This window comes from Homo sapiens, chromosome 3 (assembly GCF_000001405.40).
Source record: "Homo sapiens chromosome 3, GRCh38.p14 Primary Assembly".
Classification (NCBI taxonomy): Eukaryota; Metazoa; Chordata; class Mammalia; order Primates; family Hominidae; genus Homo; species Homo sapiens.
The window spans coordinates 150,466,593-150,477,979 of NC_000003.12; the positions used below are offsets into that span (position 1 = coordinate 150,466,593).

At 39.0% G+C, this 11,387-nt stretch overlaps 1 annotated feature.

Annotated features, from left to right (window-relative positions):
• Window positions 2,636–3,136: an enhancer, noted in NCBI's record as "H3K27ac hESC enhancer chr3:150187015-150187515 (GRCh37/hg19 assembly coordinates)". NCBI's record gives its function as "activates a minimal SCP1, AML or CMV promoter by ChIP-STARR-seq in naive H9 embryonic stem cells {active_cell/tissue: H9 hESC(naive)}" and the evidence as "EXISTENCE:reporter gene assay evidence [ECO:0000049][PMID:30033119]".

An 11,387-nucleotide genomic window follows, 5' to 3' on the forward strand; every position in this document is an offset into this window, starting at 1 on the left:
TGGCCAATAAATGAGTAGACCACCTCCCCTAACTGAAAATATGTTCCCTTCACTTGCTTTTTCAGCTCCTTCCTCTTCCTTTCCACTTTTTCCTCTTCCACGTACAGCTTATCACAAACGCAGTCTGGCTTTAGCTCCCATTGTGCCACTGAAACTGTTCTTGTCAAGGTCATTGATGATCACTTTGTTGCTAATTCTATCCCATATCTTATTGAACTGCTTTACTCCTAATTTCTCTTTATGATCATTTCATTACTCTAGTAGTTTTCTATCTCTTCATTTTCTAACTTCACTTTTTTTTTATAAAGAGTTTCCCTTATAAAAAGTATATAGTTGAATTTTCTTTTCTGAACCAGGCAACACTTCATTCCATGAAATAGAATAAGTGTTCCCAATTTTTTTCTTTTATAGAGATGAAGTCTTGCTATGTTGCCCAGGCTGGCTTTGAACTCCTAGGCTCAAACAATCCTCCCACCTCAGTCTCCCAAGTAGCTGGGACTACAGGTATCCACCACTGTTTCTGGCTTGAATTTTTAATTTCTTAACCCAATCTGTCTTTTGATAGAAAAATTTAATCCATGTCTATTTCATCAGTGGCATATTTGGATGTATTTCTGCCATCTTATTTCATGTTTTCTCCTTAAAATGCTTTCTAGACACCCCACCCCCGCACCGGCCACTGCCTTGCCACACACACACCCTTTTTCCCTTTTCTTGGCTTTCATTCAGTTGTTTCTTATTCATTTTTGATCCCTCTTTTGGTTGGGAAGTTATACATTCCAGATACATTCTTCCAGTGGTTACCTTACAATTTTGTTTATCATTTTGTTGTGGATTTTTCAACCATATACAACAGTGAACTGTATAATGAACTCCCATGTACTTATCACCTAGCTTAAACAATTATCTACTCATGGCCAATCTTGCATTATTTATACTCCCACTCATTTCCCCTCCCCAGGATACTCAAGAATGTCACCCCCCAGAAGGGAGTTCCAAGAGGAGGAGGAAAATGTGAACCCCAGGACGGAATTCTAGGGGGAGGAGGAGAAAGGGCTCTGGGACCTACATATGGGGCTTAAAGTGAAGAGCCTAGGAAACTTGGGGTGAGAGAATGCCAATACTTAGAAAGAATCCATGATCCTCTGGATTATTTTGAAGGAAATCCAAGATATCATAGACTTTATCCATATATATTTCAGCGTATACCTCTAAAGGACAAGGATTTTTTAAAGAAAAATTATAACTAAAATACCATCACCCCACCTCAAAATGAACAATTCCTTAATATTACTAAAAATCTACTCAATGTCCACATTTCCCTGATTATCATAAATTTCTTATGGTGTATTTGTTTGAATGTGGGTCAAAATAAGGTCCATACACTGCAATTGGTTGGCATTCCTCTAAAGTCTCTTTTAATATGTGGGCTCCCCATACCTCTCTTTTCATCTTGAAATTCTTCAAGAATCTCAGTTATTTGCCCCATAGTTTTTTCTGAAGTCTGAGTTTTCCTAATTGCATTCTTATAGAATCCTCTGTCCCTGTATTTCCTAAATTAGTTCTAGAAGTTTAATCAGATTTATATTTTGTCAAGATTAATTCATAAGTGGTGGTATATACTTCCATCATATAATGTCTGTCTCTATTTTGTGATGTTGGAAGCATGGATAATCATTACCTAGACCCATTAGCCTATTAATTCTATTATCCCTTCTCACTCATTAGCGAAATACTTCTCTAAAGAGAGACTTGCCCTTACCAACTATTCAGCTACCCTGTGGTACAGTTTGTATAAGAAAGGGAGAGACTTAGTTCTTTCCTTTTATTTCCCAGTTTTCAAAATAATGAGTTGAGTACCTACAAAGGAATAAAAATAAATAAGGCATGATTAGGGAAGACTTACTCTGATATTTTATTCTGGGAAGAAGGAAAAGAGAATGCAGTGAGTTGATTTAGGATGCTATGACTCAGGTGTTAGTAGAGAGAAGCCAGGAAAAAGCCCCCAAAAAGTTGATAACAGGAAATGGCGACCTGAAGATTTGTCTGTTTACTGCTGAGTCTGGAAGCAACTTCTAAGTGAAGAGTACCTTGAGGGAATAGGGGTGGGAAGCCCATGTCTGGGCAGAGAAAGGGCTAGTTCAGAAGAAGCAACTGCAGGTAAGAAAAGCAGGTCGGTTAGCCCACGGATTCAGAGAGTGAAAAGTTACAGAAATGAGCAGTGGATTTTTCTGGGTTTACTTTCTGCCACACAGAGACTAGACATACTATCCTTACAATCTGACCATGAACCAGGAAGTTTACTAAGAAAGGCTGCATGGGGTAGGTAACATTTAGCACATGCAACAATACTTTTTATTTTATTTTATTTGAGATGGAGTTTTGCTCTTGTCGCCCAGGCTAGAGTGCAATGGCGCGATCTCCGCTCACAGCAACCTCCACCTCCCGGGTTCAAGCCATTCTCCTGTCTCAGCCTCCCTGGTAGCTGGGATTACAGGCATGCGCCACCATGCCAGGCTAATTTTTTGTATTTTTGTAGAGACAGAGTTTCACCATGTTGGTCAGGCTGGTCTCAAACTCCTAACCTCAGGTGATCCACCCACCTTGGCCTCCCAAAGTGCTAGGATTACCGGCGTGAGCCACCGCGCCCGGCCAACATGCAACAATACTTCTAAGCAAGGCGATACAGATCAGCAACTCTGGTGCCGATGTGTTCTATTTCCTTTGGTATCTGTGTCTTGATTCTTCACGCAGACCAATTTTGTTATCATCTTAATGGTCTTTCCCATAAGGAACCCACTAAGAGGTTTCAGTGTTGGGACATTAGCTTAAGAACCTAGGTAGTCAGCACGAGAACCTAGGTCTGTGGGACTCTCCTATTAATGACTCCTCTTACCTACCATTCTCCAGCCAGCGTTGTCTCCTGTTCTTCTCACCTCCCCCTATTCCATCCTGCCCCGAGTAGTCTATTCGTGCTAAAGCATTCACTGAGAAAAACTGTAAAGGGAGAGTCCCTTCTCAGAAACACCAGCTTCTTTTAAAATGGAACTTTTGAAGACCTCCCTGTTCTGTTCTCTGGAGAGAGTGAACAAGTAGAGACTTGGCAATAGCTGTGGAAACACCGCCAGCCTCTTGCTTCCAGCAACCTTGAGTTCCAAACCTGTGAGTCTTAGTTTTATATTCACTGACTTCAGCTTCCTGAACCCATCCCAGTTCAGCATTAGGTAATGGCTGTGATGACAGCTGACTCATCTGGTAATGCAGCTTTCCTGGAGGCTTCCTCTGCTCAGATAATCACACTCTGGGAGGGAAAAAAGGTTACAACAATCTTCTACCCCAGGATACTCAAGAATGTCATCCCCCAGAAGGGAGTTCTACGAGGAGGAGGAGAATGTCAGCCCCAGGAGGGGAGGTCCAGCGGGAGGAGGAGAAGAGGCTCTGGGCCCTACATAGGGGGTTTAAAGTGAAGAGCCTAGGAAACTTGGGGTGAGAAGGTGCCAGTACTTAGAGACAGAAACTGAGTGGTATAAAATGGAATGAGAATCCCCTCATTGCCCTTTGACAGCTGAGAAACTTCAAACTGGGCCCCGTTTGAGGGTAAGTTCTGCGAGAGTAGAGACTTCTACTTATTTATTCACAATTGTATTCCTGGTAACTAGTACGGTGATGTATTGCTTGACAGAAATACATTCTGAGAAATGTGTCGTTAGGATTTTGTCATTGTGCAAACATTATAGAGTGTACTTATACAAACCTGGATGATCTAGCCTACTACACACCTGGGTTATATTGTATAGCTATTGCTGCTAGGCTATAAAACTACAGCATGTCACTGTACTGATACTATACTGTGACACATGGTAAGTATTTGTGTACCTAAACATAGAAAAGGTACAGTAAGGATACAGTATAAAAGATTTAAAATGGTACACCTGTATAGGGCACTTACCATGAATGGAGCTTGCAGGACTGGAATTTGTTCTGGGTGAGTCAGTGAGTGAGTGGTGAGTGAATACGAAGGCCTGGGGGCATTACTGTGCACTACTGTGGACATTATAAACACTGTACACTTAGGCTACACTAAATTTATTTTTAAAACATTTTCCTTTAATAATAAATCAACCTTAACTTATTGTAATTTTTTTTTTTGAGACAGAGTCTTGCTCTGTCTCCCAGGCTGGAGTGCAGTGGCATGATCTCAGCTCACTGCAATCTCTTCCTCCCAGGTTCACGACATTCTCCTGCCTCAGCCTCCCGAGTAGCTGGGACTACAGGCAGCCACCACCACACCCGGCTAATTTTTTTTTGTATTTTTAGTAGAGACGGGGTCTCACCGTGTTAGCCAAGATGTTCTCGATCTCCTGACCTCGTGATCCACCCTCCTCAGCCTCCCAAAGTGCTGGGATTACAGGCGTGAGCCACTGTGCCCGGCCTTTTTTTTTTTTTTTTTTTTTGAGACAGGGTCTTGCTCTGTCACTCAGCCTGGAGCATAGTGGTATGATCATGGCTCACTGCAGCCTTCACTTCTTGGATTCAAGCAGTCTCTCACCTCAGCCTCCCGAGTAGCTGGGACTTACAGGCACATGCCACTGTGCCTGGCTAATTTTTTATAGAGATGGGAGTTTCCCTTTGTTATCCAGGCTGGTCTCGAACTCCTGGCCTCAAGAGATTCTCCCTTAGGCCTCCCAAAGTGCTGGAAATACAGGTGTGAGCCACCATGCCCAGCCACTGTAACTTTTTAGTTTTATAAACTTGAAATTTTTTTAACTTTTTTACTCCTTTGTAATAACACTTAGCTTAAAAGGCAAACACATTCTATAAGTGTACAAAAATACTTCCTTTATATTATTATATAAGCTTTTTTCTATTTTAAAATTTTTTAACTTTTTAAACTTTTTTGTTGAAAATTAAGACACAAACCCACATATTAGCCTAGGCCTACACAGGATCAGGATCATCAACATCACTGCCCTCTACCTCCACATCTTGTCCCACTGGAAGAGGTCTTTAGGGGCAATTACATGCATGGAGCAGTCATCTCCTATGAGAACAATGCCTTCTTCTGAAATACCTCCTAAAGGGCCTGCCTGAAGCTGTCTTACAGCTACCTTTTTTTTTTTTTTTTTTAATAAGTAGGACTGCACTCTAAAAGATAAAAAGTAGAGTATGGTAAATATATAAACCAGTAACATGGTTATTATCATTATGAAGTATTATGTGCTATACATAATTGTATGTGCTAGACTTTTATACGACTGGCAGCACAGTAGGTTTGTTTACATCGGGCATCACCACGAACATGTGAGTAAAGCGTTGCCCTGTGACTTTACTGATGGCGGCCCACAGTTGACCTAAATGTTGTTATGCAGCACATGATTGTACTGTTATTAAATGAATGAATGAGGGTTCACACCTATCTTACATATTCTTTATTCTTGAGCTTTCTGATCTCTAAATGTAGCCTGAGATAGCCAAATCATAGCCTTGTTGTAAGGATCAAACAATATAAAATATGTAAATCACGTAACTTGGATCTGGCCCACAGCAAGCATACAGTAAATGCTGCTCTTGTTTTCTTTCTCACCCCTTTCTAGGCATCTGGTTGAAGCAATGCTCTTTCTCCTCACTGCTTTTTGACCAAAAGCTTGGGAAAAAGACTAGGCAATCTTTAGGCCCAGGAAATAGCACCTGTGATAAATCCAAGGTCACCTAGATAGGTTTAATCACCTTCTCCAAATAATAACACTACCAAGTTTTACAGCACTCCTGACAAAAATCTATTTTTCCTCCTTTTCTTTCCCTTTAAGACAGGGTCTCACTCTGTCGCCCAGGCTGGAGTATAGTGGCACGATCACAGCTCACTGCAGCCTCAACCTCCTGGGCTCAGGTGTATTTTTCCTCCTTTATCTCTTTAGAACCTCACAACTACCCTAGTAAGCCTTGGGAAAGCAAGTATTTGGCTCATTTGACAGATAAGGAAACAGGTTCAGAGAATCCAGAGAGCTTGTGACCTGCCCAAGATCTCAGATCAGATTAGTGGTAGAACTAGATTCCAGCCCATGGGTGGCCATAGCCCACATTTTTCTCCCCATTGTGCTTAAATAGGTTAGAGGTCACAGGAAGAAAGAACCCCTTTTCTGGAAAAAATTATGTTGAAACTGTACCCAATTTATTCCTATTCATTGATTCATCTACTTGATTTCATTAGGCAGCTCTGTGATTCAAGAGATGGCCATTTGGGATGGGCAAAAGAGAACAATATATGACAATATACACTCCTTGGAATGAAGAAAGGTAAGTCTCCATCCACAAAATACCAAACAGACTTCAATCAGAACACTCTCAGTTCAAGAGGATTGGTGCTGATTGTTTATTTGTTAGAAATGTATATTTTCTGGCTGGGCCCAGTGGCTCACGCCAGTAATCTCAGCATGTTGGGAGGCTGAGGTGGGCAGATCACTTGAGGTCAGGAGTTTGAGACCAGCCTGGCCAACATAGTGAAAACCCATCTCTACTAAAAATACAAAAATTAGCTGGGCCTAGTGGTGCACACCTGTAATCCCAGCTACTCGGGAGGCTGAGGCAGGAGAATCGCTTGAACCCGGGAGGCGGAGTTTGCAGTGAGCTGAGATGGCACCACTGCACTCCCACCTGGATGACAGAGTGAGACTCCATCTCAAAAAAAAAAAAAAAAAAAAAATGAAAGGTGTATTTTCTTAATAAGTAGCACATGCTCACATACACACCATGGAATACTATGCAGCCATGAAAAAGGATGAGTTCATGTCCTTTGTAGGGACGTGGATGAAGCTGGAAACCATCATTCTGAGCAAACTATCGCAAGGACAGAAAACCAAACACCACATGTTCTCACTCATAGGTGGGAATTGAACAATGAGAACACTTGGACACAGGGGAACATCACACACTGGGGCCTGTCGTGGGGTCGGGGGAGGGAGGAGAGATGGCATTAGGAGATATACCTAATGTAAATGACGAGTTAACGGGTGCAGCACACCAGCATGGCACATGTATACATATGTAACAAACCTGCATGTTGTGCACATCTACCCTAGAACTTAAAGTATAATTTAAAAAAACTTCAAAAAAAAAATAAGTAGCACATGCTCATTGAAATATTTCAATAAAGAAGTTAATTTTCAAAAAAAACAAGGCAAAATCTCCCCTCTCTATTCATCTGCAATCCCACTCTGCAGAGTAAAACTGCTAAGTTTTCTCTGCACATAATTGAGATACACACATTTTGTGTTTTCATTTACCATAAATGAGATTATACTAAACATATTTTTCTTCAACTTGCTTTCTACAAATCTACAGTAATCACAAACATCTTTTCATGACAGAACATAGAGATTGTCTTTATTCTTTTAAATAGCTGCATAGTGTTGTATAATAAGTCATATCACGACAGTCCCCTACTCATGGATGTTTAGATGGCACTCAGTTTTTTTCTGTAATCAAAATTGTTTCTCTATACATCTTTGTCTAGTTACATGAGAATTTCTTTAGAATAAGAGTGGCCAACATTTCTTGAGCCCTTTACCTTCACATCATGTGAATAAGACAAATCGCTGAGCCATGGGTAGGGCATTTCACTGTAGACAAGCAGAGACGTGAGGCTCACAAAGGGTAAAGCTAGGATTTTTTGATATGTAATCAGAGTAGAAACTCAGTTCCCTAGCTCCAAAACCCAGATTCCTTTTAGCCTCCAAATACATGTATTTTTTTTTCTTTTTCTTTTTTTTTTTTTTTTTTTTTTTTTTGAGACAGGGTCTCACTCTTATTACACAGGCTGGAGTACAGTGGCAGGATCTCAGCTCACTGCAACCTCTGCCTCCCAAGCTCAAGCGATCCTCCCACCTCAGCTTCCCAAGTAGCTGGGATTACAGGTTCATGCCACCACACCTGGCTGATTTTTGTATTTTTTGTAAAGACAGGGTTTTGCCATGTTGCCCACACTGGTCTTGAACTCCTGAGCTCAAGCAGTCTGCCCACCTCTATTTCCTGAAGTGCTAGGATTACGGGCATGAGCCACTGCACCAGTCTAGCCTCCAAATATATTGATATTCTGATAAGATGCCACAGGGCTATATATCTTTTATTTGAACCCCTTGCGTCGCTCTGTTCCACTTAGCTAAAAAACTACCTATCCCCAGGGGGAAAAGCTGAGTGAGTGAAAAAGCAAAAAATGGTTAAGCTGCAGTACTCCAAGGAGACTAATCAAAGCATGTAAATATTATTTAAAATATCCTTTTAGGCTGAGTGCGGTGGCTCACACCTGTAATCCCAGCACTTTGGGAGGCCGAGGTGGGCGGATCACCTGAGGTCAAGAGTTTGAGACTAGCCTGGCCAACATGGTGAAACCTCGTCTCTACTAAAAATACAAAAATTAGCTGCGTGTGGTGGCGGACACCTGTAATCCCAGCTATTTGGGAGGCAGGAGAATTGCTTGAACCTGGGAGGCAGAGGTTGCAGTGAGCCAAGATTGCACCACTGCACTCCAGCCTGGACGACAGAGCGAGACTCATCTCAAAAAATAAATAAATCAAATAAGATATCCTTTTAATATATTTTAATCAGCTTTATTGAGGTATAATTTATTCACTAAAATGCACATTTTAAATAAAGCTTGCTGAGTTTTGAAAAAGTATACAGCCATGTAACCACAATCACAGCCAAGATGAATGTCTTTGTATATCCTATACACAATCTTTCATCAGATATAAGTACTGCAGATATCTTCCCCCAGTCTGTGACTTGCCTTTTCATTTTGAGCAGAAAGTTTTCATGTGACAAAATCCAATTTATCAAAGTTTTCTTTTATGGTTCACATTGAGTCTAAGAAGAAATCTTTGCCTACCCCAACATCATGAAGATTTTCTCCTATGTTCTCATCTAGAAATTTTATATATTTACTTTTTACATGTAAGTCTCTTATCCCTCTTGAGTTAATTTTTGTATATAGTATGAAACAACGGTATGAATTTACCTTTTGCTATGGATATCCAATTGATCCAGAATTATTTGTTGAAAAGATTATCCTTTCTCTATTGAACGATGTTGGTACCTTTGTCAAAAATTGACTATAAATGTAAAACCTTCAAATGTAAATATAAACTCTATTTCTGTCGATTCTATTCTGTTAAGCTATATGCCTATCTTTATGCCAATACAACAGTGTCTTGATTTCTGTAGCTATATAGCAAGTTTTGAAATCAGATGGTATAAATCCTCAAATTTATTCTTTTTTTTCAAAATTGTTTTGGCTATTGTAACTACAGTTGATAGAATTGACCAATGAAGCTGCAGCAGGCAGAATTCTAAAATGCCCTGGGACTGTAAATATGATGGGTTTTACTCTTATGATTAGCTTATGTTATATGAAACAGTTGACTTAAAGAAAGGGAGATTAGCCACATGAACCTTTTAAAAGCAGAAAGATTTTTGGTTGATGGAAAAAGAGAAAGCTAGAAATCTGAAGCACTAGAAATATTTAATGAGCTATTGTGGCTTGAAGATGGAGCAGGCCACATGACAAGGAATGCAGGCAGCCTCTAAGAGCTAAAAGCAGCCCCTGAGGGACTACCAGCAAGAAAATGGGGATCTCACTCCTACAAGGTCAAGGAAATGAATTATGCCAACAACCTAAGTGAGCTTGGAAGTGATTCTTCTCCAGAGCCTCCAGATGAGAACTCAGTCTGACAGACATCTTGATTTCTAGTCTCACCATGTCAGACTTCTGGAATACAAAACTGAGGGCTAATAAAAGGGTGTTATTTTCAGCCTCTACATTTACAGCAATTTGTTATACAGCAATAGGAAATGAATACAGAGCTGTCTGGACCCAAGCTTTTCTTTATGGGAAGCATTTTATCTATTAAATGAATTTCTGTACTTGTTATAGGTAGATTCAGATTTTCTAATTATTCTTAGTTCAGTTTTGGTAATTTGTATCTTTCTAAGAATCTTTGCATTTAAGTTTTCCAATTTGTTAATGTAAATTTGTTCATAGCAGTCCTGTGAACTCTTTAATTTCCATAGGACTGGTAGTGATGAACCGTTTCATTTCTGATTTTGAAAATATTCTATTTCTCTCTTCCTTCTTGGTTAGTCTAGCTCAAGATTTCTCAATTTTGTTGACTTTTTTCCAAGAACATGATTTTTATTGGTTTTTATTTTCTCAAGTTCATTGATTTCTACTTTTTATTATTTCTTTCCTTTTGCTTGTTTTGAGTTTATTTTACTCCTTTTTCTAGATTCTTGAGGTGGAAGCTTAGATTAAGATTTTTCTCTTTTTTTAATGTGTTTAATGTTATAAATTTCCCTCCCTGCACTAACTGCATGCCACAAATTTTGATTTTGTGTGTGTTTTTGTTTTAACTCAACTCAAAATATTTTCTAATTTCCCTCATGATTTCTTTTTTGACTATGGGTTATTTAAAAGCATGTTATTTAATTTCCAAATATCTGGAGATTTCCAAATTTCCTTCTGTTGCTCATTTCTAATTTAATCCTGTTGTGGTCAGAGAACATACTTTGTATGATTTCAATTCTGTTAAATGTGGGCCTTGTATCATGGCCTAGCATCCAGTCTATTCTGGAGAATGTTCCATGTACACTAAAAAGAATGTGTATTCTGCTGTTATTAGGTGTGGTGTTCTAAAAATGTCAGTTGTATCAGGTTGGTTGATAGTCTTCTATATCGTTACTAATTTTCTATCAAATGGGGTATTGAAGTCTCTTTGAATAGTGTTTTTCTTTTTAATTCTATCAACTTTTGCTTTATGTATTTAGGGGCTCTGTTGTTAGGAACATATACATTTATAATTGTTACATATTCATTATAAAGCATCCATCTGTCTCTAGTAATATGTCTTGTCTTAAAGTCTATTAATATAGCCACTCCAACTCTCCTATGGTACTGTTTTTATGGCATTTTTCCCCATCCTTTTACTTTCAACCTATTTTTATCTTTAAATCTAATGTGTCTATTGTAGGTAGCATATAGTTAGATCTTGCTTTTATTAGTCAGTCAATCTCTGACTTTTGCATAGCATTTAGATTGTTCATATTTAATGTAGTTATTGATATGGTTCAATTTGTCTTCCATTTTACTATTTTATTTATGTCCCATGTGTTTCTTCTTCCTTTGTTTCTCCTTTACTGTCTTTTGTGTTAAATGGATATTTTTGTGTGTGCTGCTTTTATTCCTTTGTTAGTTTTTAAAAATTATTACATTGTTTTGAGTTTTGTAAATTTTTTAGTGTTTGCTCTAGGGATTATAATATGCATCTTAATTTAACAAAATCTACTTCAAATTAATATGAATGTAATTCTAGTAAAATTATAAAAATTTGCTCCAATAT